The sequence below is a fragment of the Homo sapiens genome, chromosome 5 (assembly GCF_000001405.40).
Source record: "Homo sapiens chromosome 5, GRCh38.p14 Primary Assembly".
Classification (NCBI taxonomy): Eukaryota; Metazoa; Chordata; class Mammalia; order Primates; family Hominidae; genus Homo; species Homo sapiens.
The window spans coordinates 180,007,469-180,029,351 of NC_000005.10; the positions used below are offsets into that span (position 1 = coordinate 180,007,469).

The 21,883-nt window shown below is 41.8% G+C and overlaps 1 protein-coding gene and 1 non-coding gene across 4 annotated transcripts in view, besides 2 other annotated features; both read right to left on the reverse strand.

Annotated features, from left to right (window-relative positions):
- Nucleotides 1-21,883, reverse strand: part of RNF130 (ring finger protein 130) — a 160,109-nt gene that overhangs the window by 95,818 nt on the left and 42,408 nt on the right. For all 3 annotated transcript variants that reach the window (NM_001410829.1, NM_001280801.2, NM_018434.6), the window contains exon 3: nt 5,593-5,843. In NM_001410829.1, coding sequence (NP_001397758.1) covers nt 5,593-5,843 — 251 coding nt within the window. The remainder of the gene's footprint in view (nt 1-5,592; nt 5,844-21,883) is intronic.
- Nucleotides 82-583: an enhancer, noted in NCBI's record as "NANOG hESC enhancer chr5:179434550-179435051 (GRCh37/hg19 assembly coordinates)". NCBI's record gives its function as "activates a minimal SCP1, AML or CMV promoter by ChIP-STARR-seq in naive H9 embryonic stem cells {active_cell/tissue: H9 hESC(naive)}" and the evidence as "EXISTENCE:reporter gene assay evidence [ECO:0000049][PMID:30033119]".
- Nucleotides 7,835-7,929, reverse strand: MIR340 (microRNA 340). The gene has a single exon (NR_029885.1). It is a non-coding gene; the product is annotated as a microRNA 340 (primary transcript).
- Nucleotides 20,161-20,455: a silencer, noted in NCBI's record as "tiled region #9602; HepG2 Repressive non-DNase unmatched - State 23:Low, and K562 Repressive non-DNase unmatched - State 10:DNaseD". NCBI's record gives its function as "represses a minimal TATA promoter and a strong SV40 promoter by Sharpr-MPRA in HepG2 and K562 cells {active_cell/tissue: HepG2 | K562}" and the evidence as "EXISTENCE:reporter gene assay evidence [ECO:0000049][PMID:27701403]".

Sequence of the window (21,883 nt, forward strand, 5' to 3'; positions counted from 1 at the left end):
TTGCTAATATTATGGCTTCTCTTTTAAAATAGCCAAAGGTTTCAACCAGTCTAGCTGCTGCCACCTTCTTATTAAACTTTAATAAGCTAAGCTTTTTAAGCCACATAAAAATTTCATCAAGCATTTGTCAACCTTGGGGAAAACGGAAGGAGGAAAAAAGGTCAGAACATCACTTTCCACCACAGTAGCATCTGGAGAGACGCTTTGGAAGGATCCTGCATGCAGTCAGCCGCAAAATAAATGCTAGGAAACAAGCTCGCAGTTTGTGGCCTGCACCAGATGGTGATTATGTTTCCTCCTTCATCAGCCCCGGCCCCACACTGGGTGCTAATTAAAGCACTATCTTCCAATAGCAGGCTCCTGGGACAACCGTGAGCCTTTGTTCCAACGTCCTCAGGGTGAGCTACACCCAGTCCACTAACACAGGCTTGCCTGTCAACAACACCACTCCAGAGCAGCTCCTTCTCATTTTACTTTCAGTGTTTCGTATGTCAACATATTTTAAAAACAAATCTTTTAGTTTTTTTTTTTTTTTTTTTTAACAGGTATATTACATGTTATAGGAGGGAAAAGGAGGTGGGCTGCCTGGGGCCCTCAAGACATGAGAAACGGGTGGTGGCTTCCAAGCTTCCTTACTTCCCCCATAGATTCCTGACAATGTGCTGCAGAAGCCTCCAACCTGGAACAGCCAACAGGACCAGAGCAGCCCACCACCCGACCCCAGAAAAAGCCGAGAAAAGCCCAACTCCGCTAGCCAAAGTACCAAGAGAAGGATGGCCTAACATCAGAAAACACTTGCAGTAATATTCATTCTACTCCAGCCAGGCGCCAAGGGCAAAATCACAATCCTCCTCCCACCCTGGTCTCACAGAGCCCAGTGGGAATAGGCTCTCCCAGCCCGGCTCCTCAGGAAGAAAAGCTGTGCCCACTGGTCTAATTAACACCCAGAGAACATGCCACCCAACAGCAGAATATTTTTTCTAAGCACCAATGAAACACTGACTAAGACAAACTACATCCTACATCATAAAACAAACTTCAAGAAACAGAAGAGAACTGAAATCATAGAGTATTTCTCTGAGCATAATGGAATCAAACCAGAAATCAGTAACACTAAGATAATAGTAAAATCTTGGCAGGACACAGTGGCTCATGTCTGTAATCCCAGCACTTTGGGAGGCTGAGGTGCACAGATCGCTTGAGGTCAGGAGTTCAAGACCAGCCTGGGCAACACAGTGAAACCTCATCTCTACCAAAAAATACAAGTTAGCCGGACACGGTGGCATGCGCCTGTAATCGCAGCTACTCGGGAGGCAGAGGTCAGAGAATCACTTGAACCCGGGAGGTGGAGGTTGCAGTGAGCTGAGATCGTATCACTGCACTCCAGCCTGGGTGACAGAGTAAGACCCTCTCTCAAAAGGAAAAAAAAAAAAGTAAAATATCTAAACTACTGGAAATTCAATAACATACTTCTCAGTAATGTATGGGTAAAAGAAGAAGTCTCAAAAGAAAAAAATACATAGGACTGAATGAAAATGAAAATACAGCATATCAAAATATGTGAGGCATAGCCTTAAAGAAGTGCTGAGAGAGAAATTTATAGCACTTAATTCTTACATTAGAAAACAGGAAAGCCTTCAAATAAACTAATCACAGACTTAAATGTAAAACATAATATAAAACTTCCAGGAAAAATAGTAGAAAATCTTTGGGATATCTAGGGATAAGTAAAGAATTTTTAGACTTGACACCAAAAGCACAATTCATAAAAGAAAAAATTAATAAACCATAAAAATTAGAAATTTTTGCTTTTCAAAGACCTTGTTAAGAGGTTGAACAAAACAAAATACAGACTGGGAGATAATCTCTGCAAGCCACATATTTGACGAAGGACTTGTATCTGGAATACATAAAAAGCTCTCAAAATTCAACAGTGAAAAACAATCTAGGTAGAAAATGGGCAAAAGACATGAATGGATATTTCACTGAAGAGGATATACGGATGGCAAACAAGCACATAAAAAATGTCTAATTAGAGAAATGCAAACTAAAACCACAAGAGATGTTACTACACAACTCAACAATCACAAGAGATGAAAACACCAAGTGCTGTCGAGAGTGTGGAGGAACTGGATCAGTCATACATTTCTAGCAGGAATGCAAAATGGTATGGCCACTTTGCAAAATGAGTCTAACAGTTTCCTACAGAACTAAATATGCACTTATCTTAACAGCCCAAAAACTTCACTCTTGGAATTTACACTGAACTCAGAAATTACACATTTATCCCAGGGAAACGAAAACTCATGTTTACACCAAAACCTGTATGTGATTGTTCACAGCTGCTTTATTTGTAATAGCCAAAATCTGAAAACATCCCAGATATCCTTCAATGAGCGAGCAATTAAACAAACGGTGGTACATCCAAACCATGGGATATAGTTCGGCCATAAAAAGGAATAAATGACTGATACACATAACAACTTGAAAGTATCTTGGCCGGGCGCAGTGGCTCACGCCTGTAATCCCAGCACTTTGGGAGGCTGAGGTGGGCGGATCACAAGGTCAGGAGATCGAGACCATCCTGGCTAACACGGTGAAACCCCATCTCTACTAAAAATACAAAAAATTAGCCAGGCACGGTGGCAGGCACCTGTAGTCCCAGCTACTCCGGAGGCTGAGGCAGGAGAATGGCGTGAACCTGGGAGGCGGAGCTTGCAGTAAGCTGAGATCCAGCCGCTGCACTCCAGCCTCGGCGACAGTGAGACTACATCTCAAAAAAAAAAAAAAAAAAAAAAAAAAAAGTATCTCAAGGTAATTATGCTGAGTGAGGAAGTGAAGAATTCCAAACTCTAGAGGTTACATACTATATGATTCCACCTATATAACATTTTTTTCTTTATTTTTTTGAAACAGAGTCTCACTCTGTCACCCAGGCTGGAGTGCAGTGGTACGATCATGGCTCACTGCAGCCTCTGCCTCCCAAGTTCAAGCAATTCTCGTGCTTCAGCCTCCTGAATGGATGGGACTACAGGCGCATGGCACCTTGCCCAGCTACATTTTTGTATTTTTAGTGGAGATGGGGTTTGCCATGTTGGCCAGGCTGGTCTTGAACTCCTGACCTCAAGTGATCCACCTGCCTTGGCTTCCCAAAGTGCCGGGATTACAGGTGTGAGCCACCGTGCCTGGCCCATGATTCCACCTATTTAACATTCTTGAAATGACAAAACTATAGAGATGAGAAACAGATTCCTGGTAGATTAGGGAAGGGGGAAGGAGGGAGGTGGCTGTGGTTATAAAAGAGTAGCACAAGGGTTCCTTGTGATGGAACTGGTCTGTATCCTGACCGTGTTGTTGGTCATGTGAATCTACACATGCGATAAAACTACACAGACTAAAGACAGACACACACATACACAAATAAGTACACATTAAACTGGAGAGGTGGGGAGATTTCAGTGTATTTAGGAAGATCAGTGGATTGCATCCATGCCAATTTCCAGGTTATGATACTGACCACAGTTATACATGTTGTTACCACAAGGAGAAATGAGTGAAGGGGATAAGAGACATCTTTGTATTTGTATTATCTCTTACAAATGCAAGCAAATCTACATTTTCACAAAACGCATATAACCTGAAACTAATCACGAAGGAACACAACACGTCGGATAAACTCAAATACAAAATAATTGATCTGTACTTTTCAGAAACGTCCATGTCATAAAACCAAGTAAGAAGAGACAACTGAATGCAAAATCCAATGAGCTCCAATCAATCCAGGATTTTCTTTGCTATAAAGGTCATTATTGAGCCAGTTTTACAAAACCCAAAAAAGGTCTATCAATCAGATAATGTATTATATCAATGTTAATTTACTGATTTTGATAACCACACTATGGTTATGTAAGAGAATGTTCTTGTTTTTATAAAATATATAACAAAGTATTTAAGGGTAACAGGGCATCATATCTCAAACTTACTCTCAAATAGTTTTGTTAAGGTATATATACAAAGGTTGAGGGTGGTGTTCACACCCATAATCCTGACACTTTGGGAGGCCAAGGTGGGCGGATCCTTTGAGCCCAAGAGTTTGAGACCAGCCTGGCCAACACTGCAAGACCTGGCCTGTGCAAAAAAATTAAAAAATTAGCCAGTCATGGTGGTGCATACCTTCAGTCCTAGCTACTCAGAAGATTGAGGCCAGAGGATAGCTTCAGCCCAGGAGCTGGAGGCTGCAGTGAGCCATGACTGCCACCACACTCCAGCCTGGGTGACAGGGCAAGACCCTGTCTCTTAAAAAAAAAAAAGTTTTTTAAATTAAAAAAGTATAGTTACATAGAAAAGGAAATACAGTAAAACATTAACAGCTGTAGCATCTGAGTGAAGGGAATACTTGCCACTTATCTTACAAATTTTTTGTTAAGTCTAAAATTACAAATATAAAAATTTTCAAAATAAAAAAAATTAAAAGTGCACAGGGAGAGCCTGGCACAGAAAGCTTCAATAAACTGCAGTCAGTGTTTGGGTATTTTATATGTACTTCCACAGTCAGCGTTTGGGTATTTTATATCTACTTTCACAGTCAGCGTTTGGGTGTTTTATATCTACTTTCAGATGAGAAAGAAGCTGAGATGCTCAAGAAACTGTCCAACAGGGTGAGGGGTCATGGTGAACTGGTGGTGCAGGAGGGATGTGAGCTGAGACCTGTTCCATGCCAAAGTCTGCGCTTTTTCCGCTAGAAAGAGGAAGGATAAAAATCCCAGTGTGCCCATCCCCACAGGAATTTGAATGTACCATGTTAGGAGAAGACAGCGTTATACAAAAACTGGCTTCAAATCACTCTCCAAGCAAGTCACTTCTTAGTTTTCTACACAAAAAGTCTAGGAGAGGGACCTAACACCTGGAACCTGGCACCTAGGGTGTGTATTCTGTCCACAGCACATCAATCAAACTCAGTCACCAACTGAGGGCCACCATCTCCAGGCCCTCACACCGGGGAAGCACACTGCTTTTCCTAGGTTTATTCACTCAACCAAAATAGATGCGCTGTCAGTGGAACTCCTAGGATGACTACATAGACAGACATCTTCTATTGGTCTTCCCCCACTCACCCTTACCCCATGTCTGAGCTTAGATGACAGAGGTTTTTCATTGATTTCATTTTCTGAATAGATAATACTTTCCCAGTTCAAAATTCACATGGGAAAGAATTTCACATAGGAAGGGGAAGAGTGAAGTCTCCCTAACCCCCCTCCAAGTTCCCATTTGCAGAAACATCCAAAGTTACTGGTTTAAAAATGCAACTTTGTGCTATTTCTCCAAATTAACAGAATTATCTAGATAATACTATGATATCAAGCTATCTACCTGACTAGAATATTCTAGGTGATCACAATAAATTTAGTACCTTTTAGGTTATTTTAAATATCCCTTAAATACTCATGTAGACGTTTCCAACATATTAAAATGACTGAGTGAGGGTAACAACATTTTTTAAAAGAAAAAACATGTTAGTAAGATGCATGGTCACGACAGATGACTGTGAACTCTGGCTGTTACGAACCAATCACTGTTGAGTACTGAGCTCACCTGGTTCCTGTCGCGTGCATTTGTGTACCTGATCTTCTGAATGAAGTAGAATATGAGCCATGCTGAAGAAATAATCATCAAAACAATAAAGGATATTGACACGAAGACTAGAGAGCCACGGCTGAAGTTCTTCGGTGGCATTCGAGTTCCAACAGCTATTGTCATTTGTACAGAGATGTTTTTCTCCAGATAACTCAAAATATCCTTACCCCTCAATTCTGTTATCATGACAGCAATAATATCTCCAGTGCCTGCAATATAAAATAAATATATAACTCAAGTGACATTTAAAACTTATGGAAACATCAAATGTATCAACACGCTACTTAGGTAACTACTATAATGTCTGGTAATGGAAAGGGTATGCAAACTCCACTTCTCAACTGAAATGTAGATGCAGCTGGGTATGCTGGCACCAAGTAGGAACATGTAATTTGTTGTGTGGTACTTAAGACTTAAACAGACATAAGGCATAGAACGACTGCAGTGTTAAGAACCATATTAACTTGTCTGACAACTACATTTTTAAAAAAAGATTATTAAACCAGCCAAATGTGACAACAGACAGCAACATAACATTATACAGCAAGAGAAGTGTATCAACATCATGGTAGATTTACACTGTAAAACCTTTTCTATTTTAAAATGATCTTCAGAAAGTCTTAATTCCTTAAGAAATGGAGTAAAGTGCTGTTTTTATAGCATAAATTGGTACTTCTTGCACTAATCTAGGAACATTCATGGAGTACCCACTGTCTGTAGAACTAGTGCCAGGAACAAAAACAAGTACAGGATACCAAGCTTTCTAATCTCACTGAGACAGGGGACACACAGCTGGTAACAGAGCTACAAAGTGCCAAATGGTGCCACCTTTTATTAGTGACATCTGAAACTAACTTGGGTCTTATGTCCAGACTTGAGTGGAGTTGAGGCTCCTTGCTAGTTTACCCCAGAACTCTTCTGGAAATCAAACGTTCCAGAGACAGGTCCAGGCTTCAACATTCTGGACCAGTTTGGCATCGAAATACCTCCAGCCTCTAACAGTTGTCCAGAGGTCTGCCCACAAGCACAGGCTATGCAAGTTAATTACGAGGACAGTCTTAAGTTGCCTTATAGTTACCTAGACCTTTCCCCTACATAATTTCCAGAAGTAGTAACAGTGAAGGAATTGAATACCTCTTCCTATGGACAGCAGGAAACTGCTATCCCTTTCCTCCTCCACAAAGGAAATAACTTCCCACTGTCTTTTAAGGAAACAGAGAAACTTCTATCAATCTATCAGCGATTGTCCTTTCATAAGCTGAAGCTGCCGGTGGCAACATGTAGCTTCTACATTTGCCTTCTCCAGAGAGCCCCTGAGAGAGACTAGGGGTCATTAGAAGGGAAATAAATATTTTATTTTGGGAAAGAGAAAATTATAACCACTTATTTGAATTTGAATAAGGTTTGTACATATCAATGTAAACCAACAAAACAATCAAGCAGAAGTCCCCAAAACTTGTCCTTTTCAATCCTTCTTCAATGAATAACACATTGAAATATTTGGTTTTACATGTTTCATTTACCATATTTAGCTAAAAGAACCATCTTTGTGTTACATGCAGTCACAGAAGACTACACGCAACTGAAAAGAAATTCAACAGGGCTGGGCGTGGTGGCTCATGCCTATAATCCCAGCACTTTGGGAAGCCAGGGCAGGTGGATTGCTTGAGCTCAGGAGTCCAAGACCAGCCTGGGCAACATGGTGAAACCCTGTCTCTCACAAAAACAGGAACATTAGCTAGGCATGGTGGCACATGTCTGTGGTCCCAGATACTCAGGAGGCTGAGGTGGGAGGATCACTGGAGTCCAGGAAGTTGAGGCTGCAGTGAGCTGAGATCACGCCACTGCACGCCAGCCTGGGTGACAGAGCAAGACCCTCAAAAAAAAGAAGAGAAATACAACAGTAAAAGGAGTTTTATGGAAAATGTAACCCAATGGAACATATACCTTTTTACTACCTTACTCAAAATTGTTACAGCCACTTTATTAGAACAGCAGTTTACCAGAATACCGATTAAAAATCTACAAAAAACTATAAAATTAAAGCAAGCAATAAACATCTAATTAATATCTAATTACCTTTCTGAAATAAGAGTTGTGATCAGTAAATTAGAGACAATCACAAAATAATGCTAAACCGCTTTAAATTTCCCTTTAGAAATCTCTTAAAATGTTGTTCAACGGGCCATGATCTGTGGTATAAGATACCAGGTATGGCTATAAAGTAACTGAGACGGATCCCACAAACGACATATGACAATCAGTCTCATTGCTTTATAATCACACCAGGTACAAACGGTTTTAGAAATCAGTTGAGGCTCCCTCTTGAAGACTCAAGCTGGAAAAGGAGTAGGGAAAGGAGTAGGGAAAGGAGTAGGGAAAGGAGTAGGAAAGGAGTAGGGAAAGGAGTAGGAAAGGAGTAGGGAAAGGAGTAGGAAAGGAGTAGGGGAAGGAGTAGGGAAGGAGTAGGGAAAGGAGTAGGGAAAGGAGTAGGGAAAGGAGTAGGGAAAGGAGTAGGGAAAGGAGTAGGGAAAGGAGTAGGGAAAGGAGTAGGAAAGGAGTAGGAAAGGAGTAGGGAAAGGAGTAGGAAAGGAGTAGGGAAAGGAGTAGGGAAAGGAGTAGGAAAGGAGTAGGAAAAGGAGTAGGAAAGGAGTAGGGAAAGGAGTAGGGAAAGGAAAGCTGAACAGGTAGCCAAGGAAACCAATCCATGTGATTCTATTCAAAGAACACTAAATAAGAACACCAACTAATTTCAACGGGAAAGCTGTTTGGGAAAAGAAGTGTGTAATTATTTCAACCATCCATTCAACAATATTTATTGAGCACATACTATGATCAGGCTCCTTTCACCTCTTAAAGAGAGTAGAAAATTACCTGCTCTTGATGCAAAAATCCACACGCCCTCAGGAGCAAAGGGGGAACCTTTTGGACTAGGAAGAGAAGCCGCTCGCGGTGGCGTCATTACACCAGCACAGAGAAGAGCCGGGCAGAGGAGCCCGACCCTGCCGATCGGGCAGGAGGACAGCAGAACGAAAGCCCGCCACCAACTTGCAAAGGACTGGAGTTTTAGGTCTTAAATCTTTTACAGAATCTGGCGAAAGTTATATAGGAGTCCCCTCCTAGGAGAAAGGGCCTTCTCCCCATACTCCACCCCTAAAGCCTGATAGGGCTCAAAGACCCTGACCTAAAGCTGCCTCAGACACTTGACTTTTAAGGATCTGAGGAGCTCTGGCCCAGTTTCACGCCAAAGGAAATGTAGGCTTCACAATAAAGGGCCGGTCAGAGGAGGCAGTGACTGAAAAGAGTGAAGAATAATTAGACTGTAACGCTGTAAATATCAAAGCACATTTGGGACATGCCCCACCACTCCCATGTCCCAGGCCCTGGGCAAACACTGCTAGTAAGTCACGGATGCGGCCACGCTCCCACGCACTTCCACGTCTGGCCGCCAGTACTAACTGTCAGAGATGGCAATCCAGTGAAAGCCCATCTGTGATCCCTGCTTCCAACTATTTTCTTGAGAAACTTCCCCCACTGTTATTCTTTAACAGGAACTTCTGTTTCCACACTGCTTGAGTCTGGCTACTTTAATAAACAATTCTATTCTTTCCACTTTCATCCTGAGAATTTTCAAACCCATAGAGCAGTTCCAATACTGTGAGAACACTCATGGACCTTTTATTTAGATTTGTCAACATTTTGTCCTTTCTATATGTATTTATTTTTGCTGAACCAATTAAGAGTAAACTGCAAACACATGACATTTTATTCTTAAATACTTCCACGGTCCCTCCTAAGAACAAGGCTAGCTACGTGGCCACAATTCATTTACTTATCCTCAAGAAATTTAACCCTGTGTTCTTTAATAGATGGTCCATTTTCAGGTATCTGTGGTGATGACTTTAATAGCTGTTTAACTTGTTTAGTTTTGTGTCCAGGATTCAATCGGGGCTGTCGGCATCATGCTTAGCTGTCATGTCTCATTAGTCTCCTTTGATCTAGAATAGTTCCTCAGTCACTTCCGGTCCATTCATCACAACACTGACCTTTTTAAAGAGTCCAATCCAGATGTTCTGACCATGCCCCTCAATCTGGATTTGACTGTTTCCTAATGATTAGATCTCCAAATTAAATATTTCTAGTAAGAATACCACAAGGTGATGGCGTGTCCCTCCTCAGCTCGTCACTTCAGGAAGTGCAGGCCGGGTTGTACCTTTATTTTTGGTGGCAAATTTTATGACTTGGTTATTTTGGTATCTGCCAGGTTTCCTCACTGTAAATAAATGTTTTCCTCTTAATTAATAAGCAATCTGTGGGCTGATACTTCCAGATTGTGTGACTAGCCAGTTCCCCAAAAACCTTTCACTCAATGCTCTCAGCATCCACTGGTGTTTGCCTGAATCTGTTACGACAATGGTATTTGTAAAATTCTAATTCCCTAATGCTGTGATTTCTTCTACATTTTGTAAACTGATTCTATAATCAAAGGCATTAACAACACTTTCTACTTATCTTTGTTTCCCATTAAAAAAACAGAAATGCTGGGTGGGCAGTTTTTCGGAAAAGAGCCCCCCATCCCCATCAATTCTATTTTTTAATGAGGAAAAAAAGTGGGAAAATATGATAATACTGCTATAATCCTGACTACAAAATCAGTTTTGAGAGGCCAACAGAAGGAACCTCAGAATTAAGCTCCTTTGGGCTCCGGAATCGGAGGGTCTAGGTTCAAATCCCAGCATGGTACTTTAACCTCTTTGAACTTCAGTTTCTTCTTTCAAAAAATGACAAACTACCTGCAGGCTTCACAGCAGATGTTCAGTAACTGCTGCAGCGTAATGAGCTGTATTAGTCTGTTCTCACACTGTTACAAATAAATACCTGAGACTGGGTAATTGAGAAAGAAGAGGTTCAGGCTGGGCGTGGTGGTTCACACCTGTAATCTCAGCACTTTGGGAGATCAAGGCGATGGATCACCTGAGGTCAGGAGTTTGAGACCAGCCTAGCCAATATGGCGAAACCCCATCTCTACTAAAAATACAAAAATTAGCTGGGTGTGGTGGCAGGCGCCTGTAATCCCAGCTACTCGGGAGGCTGAGGCAGAAGAATTGCTTGAACAAGGGTGGTGGAGGTTTCAGTGAGCCGAGACTGTGCCACTGCACTCCAGCCTGGGAAACAGAGTGAGACTCCATCTCAAAAAAAAAAAAAAGAAAAGAAAAGAAAAAAAGAAAAGAGGTTTAATTGACACACAGTTCCACATGGCTAGGGAAGCCTCAGGAAACTTACAATCATGGCAGAAGGCACCTCTTCACAGGGCAGCAGGAGAGAGAACGAGTGCAAGTTGGGGAAATGTCAGATGCTTATAAAACCATCAGATCTCATGAGACTCACTCACTAGCCATGATTCAATGACCTCCGCCTGGTCCCACCCTTGACATGTGGGGATTATAGGGATTGCAATTCAAGGTGAGATTTGGGTGGGGACACAGAGCCAAACCATATGATGAGCTAATCCTACTTGTATTATTACTCACAGAAAGCAAAAGAAAATGTTGTGGGAAGAAAATCAAAAGGCCTCTAACCACAGATTTTTGGATGCCCATTCTCTCTTCGCCCCCTGCCCACTGCTCAGAAAATGCCCAGGGATCTGCTGACCAACACAGTCCTGCCAGCTACAAAAGAATTTATGCTTTAGTTTAGAAAGTGAGTCTACCCAGCTGGGAAGAGTCTGATCTATGCCCTCACCCTCTTGGCTTCCCTCCACTCCTCCTGGGAGTAAACCCCGGGGCAAGCCCAGTGTAGCTGAGCAGCTGATAAAGGAAGATCCAGGAAGAGAACAAATGAGCTGTCTGAGGCACCAGGCTGCAAGAGGAGAGAGGTGGCTTTACCATAAGCATTTTTACTATTGGTTACTCACAGTGGCATTAGTTATTCCTATATAACCTATTATACGTAAAGCAGAACACCATATACTTTAAGTGAAAAAGATTAAAATCACTTTGAGGCCGGGCGGGGTGGCTCACGCCTGTAATCCCAGCACTTTGGGAGGCTGAGGCAGGTGGATCACCAGGCCAGAAGATCAAAACCATCCTGACTAACACGGTGAAACCCCATCTCTACTAAAAATACAAAAAATTAGCCGGGCGTGGTGGCGGGCACCTGTAGTCCCAGCTACTCGGGAGGCTGAGGCAGGAGAATGGCATGAACCCGGGAGGCGGAGCTTGCAGTGAGCCGAGATCACGCCACTGCACTCCAGCCTGGGCGACAGAGCGAGACTCTGTCTCAAAAAAAAAAAAAAAAATCACTTTGAAGTTCCAGAAGGACTGCTGCTGAGGCAACAGCTAGGTGTATTCAGGGTCAAGCTGCACATGGGGCAGAGCCCTGGCTGCCTGTGTCTCAGGGAGACTGCTGGCTCCTGATCCCAAGACTTCTCATCTCACTCCACTGACTTAATGAAAGTCCTTCTCAAATGTTCATCCACAACTTTCAGTTCTTCAAACCCAATCTTCATTCTTCTCTTCACTGATCCCTTAAAGAACTCAAGGGGGAAAAACAGATACATTCTACATTCTTTTAGGAAATGAATATAGCAATAATTCTGACAGATGGAGGTTATATCAATTATAGATTTCCTGCTGAGACTTGTCAGTAGTTTTCCTAAAATATAGACCTGCTGTCACTCTGCTTTCAAAAGCCTTTGATGTATCCCTTCTGTCAGAAAAATAAAGTGCAAACTCTTTCACTGGACACTCAAGCACTGGGGAGCCACATGGCCCTGAGGGTAACTGAGTCACGGAACGGTGAACACTCTCGGACCCAGTGAAACTGTTGGGCAAAGTGACTGGAATAGTGGTTCATGCAATCTGGGCAGGACGGAGAGGTGAAGCCAGGAGGGAAACTGGGAGAAAACTAAGAAAGGGTCCAGGGAACTGGAAGCTTCAACAAAACTAAATGACAGGAAGAGAGGGGGAGAAAGGGAAGAGGCACTGGTCAGGACACAGGACACAGGAGTTTGCAACTCGAGATGTAACAATTCTGGGAGATGATGAGGCCCAGGGAGCAGCTATGGGACCAGGCTCCTGGAGAAGTGGAATGACTGACGGGCCTGTGGAAGGAATTTTCGGTTAGGTGTTCACTTTCCAGGTGGATTCTCAAGTTGCCCAGGATGGTGGCAGGACCGCTGATGAACGGGGAGCAGTGACAGGCGGGGAAGCACGTGACTACGGAGAGGAAGAACGCGGTCTGCTGCACAAAACTGAAAGTGAAGTCTCCCCACGTGGAAGTGACTGGTGTGGACGTGCTGTACGCCACCACCACAGGATCCCTCAGCACCCACAGACGCACAGCAAAGACCAACCTGTAATTTTGCAAATGCTTGAACCTGAACCTCCTGCCATGCGTCTGCTGGGAAGCCGAATGTGTAAGCCACTGAGTGGTAGTCACTCACTGATAATTCCTGAGGACAGTGGGCTACAGCTTGTCACCAAAAGCCAAGGGTCTTCTCTTCTTTCTTCCTTGAACAGGAAGTTCTTCAATCACATACAAGTAGGGCCAAGGGGCCACAGTACAGCACTTGAATGTCAGCTTTTCTTCTTATGCTATCTCTTGACTGTATGTCAAGAGAAAGAAAAGGGGGCAGGAGCAAGCACCTGCCCAGAACAGAAAGCTTTCTTCCTTCACACACAGAGGCAGAAGGGGGGTGGGCACTGAAGAAGACAAGCCACCAATCAGTGGAGAGCCACAGACTCTCAGTGAAGAATTTCCAGGGGTTGCCAACTTTCAACACAACACAGGAACTCCCACAAATTACTGATCCTCTCAACTGAGTAGTTCTGTCCACAGGTCACCTGGATTTAAGTCTTAGGTCTTCCTTCCTTAAAATCTAATTTTTTTTTTCTTTTGAGACGGAGTCTCACTCTGTCGCCAGGCTGGAGTGCAGTGGCGCAATCTCTGCCTCGCGGGTTCAACTGATTCTACTGCCTCAGCCTTCCAAGTAGCTGCAATGTCAGACACGTACCACCAAACCCGGCTCATTTTTTTGTATTTTTAGTAGAGACGGGGATTCACCATGTTGGCCAAAATGGTCTCAATCACCTGATAGGATGGTCTTGATCACCTGATCTCATGATCCGCCTGCCTCGGCCTCCCAAAGTGCTGGGATTACAGGCGTGAGCCACTGCGCCTGGCCAAAATCTAAATTTCTAAACATCTGTTTGTGGCTCGTGGTTCTCTCCTCCGGAAAAACACCACTGAATAAACCTGTTTTTCATTTATTGATGTATAAAATACCATCAACCACAAGGTACATCATTATGTATCATGAAGAAAAAAATCTGTCAAGCAACTCTAAGATGTCATGGAATACAAGAAACATTCCCACTTTAAGTTGAGCATCCCAGAACCAATGAGAATTCTTCAACATAACAATTCTTAAAATGTGCAAAGACAGCCTCCCTGGGTCCCCACTTCAGTCTTTTTTCCATACTAATTCTAGAGTCCCAAATCATTCATTTAAAAATAATAATAATTATTATTATTTAAAGAATCTAAAACTTACAGAAAAATTCGAAATATCATATAAAAACTTTTAAAACCTAGAACCATTCAAGAGTAAGTTCCTGGCATGATGCCTCATCACCCCCGAATATGTGGTATTTTCCTACAAACAAAATTTATAAACATAATACAACCCCCAAATAAGGAGCTTAACACTGATGTGTCACTGCCATCCAATCCCGAAGTCCATCCAAGCTTCTGCGACTTTCCCAATAACGTCCTTTACAGCAGCCCAGGTCCGAGTCACATGCTACACTCAGTCGTCACGTCATAGCCATCTCCGTCAGTCTGCAACTGTCTCTCGGTCTTTCTTGGTGTTTGTGACCTTGGCACTTTCGAAGACTACATTCGGCCCAGTTGATCTGTCGAAGGTATTTCCCTGTGGCTAGATTCAGGTCAGGTGCCGCTGGCAGTAACAACACGGAGGTGAGGCTGCGCTCTTTTCAGTGTACACCACCAGGCGGCCGAGAGCTTTTTTTTATTTGCCATTACTAGTAAAGTTCACTTTGATAATTTGGTAAAGGTGATGTCCTCCAGGCATGTGCACTGTGAAGTTCCTCTTTTCCCCTTTGTAATTAGTATGTATTCTGTGGGGAGGTGCTTTGAGGCTAGGTAAATATTCCATCCTCATGAAACCTTCAGTTTACTTTTACTTTTTAAATCAGTACAGATTCATGGTTCCTATTTTATTCAATCAGTTGAAACAGCTACTAACGTTATTCATTTTGATGCTGAAATTCTAAATTATGCTTCATAAGACCCTGTGTACAGAGCTTTCCTAACTTATTCTTTTCTGGACATCAGTTTTCCAGTGTCTTCACTTACGTAAATGTGAACTACAAATACAATGCTTTCAGTATCAAGAGTAGCATGACACTAACATCTCCTTACATCTGATTATGGCCACAGGGATACAGCCTAAGATTCCAATGTAATGTTTGGAAGCCACGGCACACATCAATGTACACGGAGCTCACGTGACTGAAGGTTCCCAGGCATTCTCCTTCTCCATTTGAACTGTTACTTAAGCCACGTCTCCACTTAAGCCACGTCTCCACAAACCTTTGCTATACTAGTTTTAAACAACCCATTTGCAGGTTGACTTAAGGAATACTCCTCTTATCTATGTTTCAAGATTTCACCTCCCTAGTTTTGTGCCTCTTTCAAGTAAGATGCTTACATTTATGCTTTCTTACAAGCTTTTGATAAAAGAATTTTAAATGGGTGGGAAAAGAAACATTAAGTAGAGAGTTCGGCATTCTAACCAAGGGAGATTCAGGTTGGGAGGAAAGTGGGCTACAGAAGCTTTCACGCCAAGCACCAGAACTCTAAAAGACCTTCAAATCTGTTATTTACATTAAAGAATTTATAAATCTGAGAGTTCAGTGAGCTGAATAATTAAGTAAATAGATGTAGGATGGCAAGAGCCAGGTTTTTCATTTAGGAGTGGGAGTTTAGTGATAAGAAAGGAGAGAGAGCTACAATGATCCATGTGGCAATATATTAGAATTGGAGACATAAGTATGAACTCATTGTTAGCTTAATATCAATGCAGATGATTACAGATAGAAATATTTATAGATATGTAGATATGCAGGAGTTAGGATACACGCATGTATTTCCTTGTTCTGTCAGCTGAGAAGGCCCAGAAGCAACAGGCATCTCGGCAGTAACATCACATCTAATGCCCGGATCTTGGTTTTTAATACCACTCTCCAATAAACAGAAACCAGGGTTCCTTGGAGAAATGGCTGATTCTAGGACTGATGTGTCATTACTGATAAAGTTCAATAATGCTCAAGGGGCAGAAAATATATGCAAAAGGAGCCTGGCACATCTTACAGCACCAGAAAGTAAGAAAGTGCTCAAAAACTAAACTAAACCAAAACAAAAAAACAAAAATCCAACACCCACAACAATGGAGGCATGTCAAAGGACACAGGAGCCAACATAAAGAATCCCCAGTGGCCAAAGCTAGGATAATTTGAGTAACAGAGTTGTACTGTACTATAATCCAGAGTGTAAAATAAATACCCATGGGTCCATAATGATATAAATAAATGACTGAATAAATTAATAAATGGAGCAGAGGCAAATCACCCATGCAGAAAAATTCCAAATAATTATGTAGATACTCTACCCTAAGGGAGATGGAGCATAAATCCCCACTTATTAAGTGTGGGCTGTGCACAGTGGTGTCAAAAGTTATCATATGGCAGGGGGAAAAGAGTTAACTTCACAGTGGAGAACCTGACAGACACTACCTCAGCCAGGTGACCAAAGTCAACATCACTGGTGATACTTCACACTGATAGCACATAAACTTGGTATGACAGGATGCATGCTAATGGTACTTTACAAATCCCTGTGGTCTTCCTCCCAAAAACCCATATCCCTAGCCTAATTATAAGAAAACTATCAAACATGTCCCAGTTGAAGGACATTCTACAACATGCTGGGCCAGCAGTCCTCAAAGCTGTCAAGGTCATCAAAAACAAGGAAAGTCTAAAAAAGTATCACAGCCAAGAGAAAACTAATGGATCATGATGACTAAATGTAATGTGGTGTCCTGGGTGGGATCCTAGAACAGAAAAAAAACTAGGTGAAAACTAAGGAAATATGAATAAAGTAATAGACTTTGGTTAATAATTATGTACCAACATTAGTTCCCTGTGGTACAACAAATTAACATGTCACATGGTACCTAACAGGAAACTGGGTGCAGGGTTTGCAGACATTCTTTGTACTATCTTCCCAATTTTTCCATAAATGTAAAACAGTTCTAAAAAGTAAAGTTTTTTTTTAAAGACTCATTATATAAAAGGGAACAACTTCTCATCAGAAAAAAACGTAAGCCAGAAAACAACAAACAACACCTTTGAAGTGCTGAAAGGAAAATTCTGTCAACACAAAAATTTATACCTGTCTTTGAAAAATGATGGCCAAAAAAAGACACTTTCGGATAAATAAATGTTGAGAGAATTCATCATCAGGAGATCTGTGCTGCATGAAATGATTTAAAAAAAGGGAAATGACACCAAACGGAAACTTGGAAATTCAGAAAGAAATAAAGAACAGCAGAACTGTTAGTATGTAGGCAAACATAAAAGCCTACCGTTTTTTCATGAGTTTTGCCATTCCCACTCCCTTCACGAATGAGGGGTCCCTTTTCATTCTTCCTCTAAACGCTCCTCAAACTTAAGCATCTGACAGTGGGTCTCAACAGGGGCAGTAAAGCTCTCCTGGGGGTGTCTGGAAGCCCTGTGGGAGGGGTCTCCATGCTGTCGCAGGCGCAGAGGTGTGCCACCAGCACTTAGCAGGTCCACACCTGGGAGGTGAAACACTCTGTAATACAAAAGACAGACCTGCAGAGCAAAAGGACTGTCCCAAAATACCCCTGCCTTGTCCTCCACTTCCATCCTGAATCGAGAAGCACTGTAAGCATCAATGCGGGGTAGAGATCCTCACCCAGACCTCTAACACCTATAGCCTAAGGCTGCATGATCCTCCTTAGCAGCTGTGCCAGTGAGACCAACTCTTGAGATCCTAACTCCAAGGTCAGGTCCATCATCATATGAACTTCTATCAGTTAAGAACATCCTCCGTCCTGGAACCTAGGAAACTGATTTCTAAAACAGTATTTCAAACCCATGTAGATCCTTTATATGATTTTACCTTCCTCCTCTTCTGCTGCCAGTGAGGAAAGAGAAGCACAGAAAAGACAAAAAAGTAAATCAAGTGACAACTTCAAACAACCCACTTGGGACACGGAGACTGCAAGGAAGGCTAGAGGACAGTCTCATGTATCTGCTGGTGAAGGCACTCTCCAGTTCCACTTCAGATTTAAAGAAAAAAGAAAATTAAGAGCTTATGGAAGTTTTAAAATGGAACCATTGCATTTATTTTATTAAAGGCTATTTTTATTTTTTTAAAGCTACTGCTTAAGTGTTTCAGTTTTAGATTTTGATAATTATGAATTTTTTTTAAAAAAATGTATGAACCAGATGGAAGATACAGTAGAAGCATGTGCAAACTCAGGCAAAAATATAAATGCAATTTAAACCCTTACTTCCTGCCACAGCAGTACACTTCAATTCCAAGCTCCATCTTTTCTGAGGTAGTTAAATCCATATTCAATTAGAAGCTAAAAAACTTTAAACGGTAAAACAATAGTATACTTATATTACTCATTTTCTTGATAGGCATTTAGAATAAAGAAAATAGATTTACGTTAAGTGGCCCAAATTACTGATACGTAAAGGTATTCTACAATGTGTTTGTGATTTCTTTTTACTTGTTTTCATAAAGTATTTTTTGTATTCACAGTGAATTTTCTATATTTTACAAAGTGTGACATTTTTCTATTCAATGCTAGATAATAAATATAGAGCTAAATACGTTTTTAAGAGAATATGATGGAAAAAAGGTGAAGAGCCATTCAACTAATTTTGTTCAACCATCCAAAAAAAAAAAAGAAAAACCCAGTAAGAAGCATCTGATATTGCTGATTGATAAAAAGATTAAAAAGCAACATTATTATTTGGTTACATGTTTATCTAAATTACCTCATCTTCCTTTCAACAATGGAAAGAATGTCCACAAAATTCTTACAGACATACAGATAAAACTACAGCTAATTCTATCAGACAGTGATTTAACACAACTTAAGATGATTAAACAATAACAGTAAAGTCTATATAAATCTTTAAAAACCAGGAAAATAAATCCATAATTTTCAGACAAGTATGCATTATTGTAAACTATCCAAGAACCCATAACGTCCCCTTCATACTACCACAGATCCGCTAACTACATGACAAAGAACTCACTCTGCTAACCAGAGGTAACAAGTGAAACCACACAATGAGTAGCCTTTCCTGTCAATGACGTCATGGACAGGGCACTGGAACAGACGTCCTTCAGTCACCAGGTGAAGGGCATGCTTTAGAATAAACAGGACCAAGCTCTTGGTTGACAAGGCAAGAAAACAAAATACTTACACTTGTATTGGTACATACAGTATATAGGGAATACTTATATTCCAATGTGGAATTTTAAAATTAGGTATAAAACATAGCCTTAAATGAAAAGAAAGCTTAACAACCAAACTAAATAACTTAATAAAATCATTTCAGAGCAAGCCATATTTATTTTGTTCAGGGCATTCTGCTGACCACTGCAGAGAACCGAAAGACATGACACAAACTTTAACTGCATGAAACCCTGGGCTTTTCCTTACTGCCAGTCCAGTATGCAAAGAATGACCACATGAAAGGAAAAGGACAATACTGTCATGGAGGCACAGAGAGGGCTCTGAAGACTGCAGGAGCCTTGGACTGTAAACTCAGTAAGGGCAATGATCCGGGTTTCTCTCCTTTTGACTTTTACCAGTTCTTACTAGTTCACATCAAAATGCACAGCACAGAGAGCTGCCAAACCACTGCTTCTGCCCTATGATGAAGGGAGGGCAAAACTGGCACAGGAGCAGGACGGGGTGAAAGCACGGGTCTCTGGGTCCATCCCTTGAGACTGTCTGGGGTGGGGTGGGGGGAGGATCCTGGAATCAGTGTCTTTCCAATTAGCTTATGTGATTCTGACACCAGGGTTCTTGAATTTCTGTAGACAGCACTGCCCTACAGGGTGAGAAGGGTTATCTGTGGAGGAAGGGAACTGAGTAACACATTGATGAGCCTGGAAAGCAAGGAGTTGCCAGTGTATAATGACCTTCTCTGAGTATAAGCAGAAACAGAAAGGCAGAGAGTTATGGCATACGAAAGTCAGAAGAGGATCATAATTCTGGAGATTTACCGTGAATGCCTGGCTGAAAAGACGAGACTCAGAGAAGCTTCTGATAGTGTGTGTGTTCTCTGTGCTACTTAACCTGCACTTCTCACCCCATTCTTAGGACAGGCTTTCAGCTAGTGCAGCTCGCTGGACTGAAACAGGACCTTTCTATAACCACTGTCCCTCTCATCCTGAGCACCCACTCCATTAAGAACCCTAGCAGCCAGGACGCGTGCCTTCCTGCTCCACTCTTCCTCTCCACACGTCACCTGTGGGGCTTCTGTTGCCACCACTGGTTCCCTCCACACTCCCACCCAATGCTTCCTGCTGGTTTTCCAGGTCCCAATCAGATGGCAGAGAAGAAGCTAGGAACCCTGCTAGCTGCTTGAGACAGCTGCCATCATTCACTGGGGCTCCGGCTGCCCGGCTCTGTGGCTGCTGCCGGTGTGAGACTGCACACCCCAGTGCAGCGCTGGAAAGCACAGCTTAGGCCGCATCAACCTCATCGAGACCACGCCTCCCTTCTTTCAAATCCTCCCGTGTTACTAAGCGACAGTCCCTGCTTTAGGCACACTTCTGCTCTGAATTGAATTTACTATTACCCTATCCACCATGTTGAGCTGTGCTGTTTTTTTCCTGTACTTAAAATTACTTTTGTTTTGCTTTTCCCCACCTCAGATCCTTCACTTACAAGGGGCCTTTGGCCTAGAATACTCTTCTCAACTCCTCAACTCCGACTCGGATGCTGTTTCCTCAAGGCATTCCTCTCTGACCCCTTGGACCTAAGTCACTTCCCACAGTCATGACTTCGTACTCAATGTTCATCTTCTCTGCTTGTTATAACTCCATGGAAAGAGGCACCATGTGTGTCTTGTTTATGCTTGGAGCTCTAACAAGAGTTCAAAAAACAATTAGCATATAGAATCCAACTCCCTCTCTCTACTTGCAGTTACCTGATTTTCTCCATTTCCTTCCGACTCCCTCTCCTCTCACCAGATTTTTGATTCATGTGGTTCGTCTACTGAGAGGATTTTCTCTTTCTGGTCGAATCCTAAGTAATCCTCATTATGCAGGGCCTGGCACAATGAATGCCTCCTACATGAAGTCTTCCAGACCTGGGTCAGAACCCCTTTCGTAATAACACTACAGCTGATCCCGCTACGTAGGTATGCAAAGTTATGCACTGAGTGGTTCCCCAATTACTTCAGGCGTGTGTGTTTCCCTAAGGGAGGAAGTGTTCCCGGCAAACACTCACTCGTACATCCTTCTACAAATCCCTACAGTGTCCATCACAGAATGCCTGGCATATAGCAGGTATAAATCGATACCTGTTGATTAACTATTTTTTTGTACTAGATATATTTTAAACAATTAAGTTATATGGAAAAACACCAGGAGAATGAAGAAAAAGTATACTTAGAAATTTTTTTAAAGTGCCAATCTCAAAATGAAAGAAAAATTGATTTCATAATTTTATAAAAGCTACTGCTTATTCCAGGCATAAGAAAAATTGTACAACTGTTATACATTACAGTTTGTTAGCTCAATAAATTTTGCAATCACCCTCTTTTAGGTAGACGAGGATGCCAGTTTAAGGACTCCGTTACCCGAAATCACAAAGCTGATAATCAACTTGGTCTAAGATTCAAATCCCAATCTTGTGACTGTTTGACATTTATGCCAAATTCTTTTCTCTATTTTAGAGGTACTATATCATCCAACTAAAACATTTTTTTCTTCTATAACTAAAAATGATTGAGAATGTCATAAAAAATTAAAATCTGTGATAAATTATTAAATATGATTTTGGAAGATGAACAACCAGAAGAAACTGAGACAGCTATGGAAACAGTGATCTATAAATTGGATGAAGTATTTCAATAATGTTTTTCTAAGGTGATGAATATGTGAC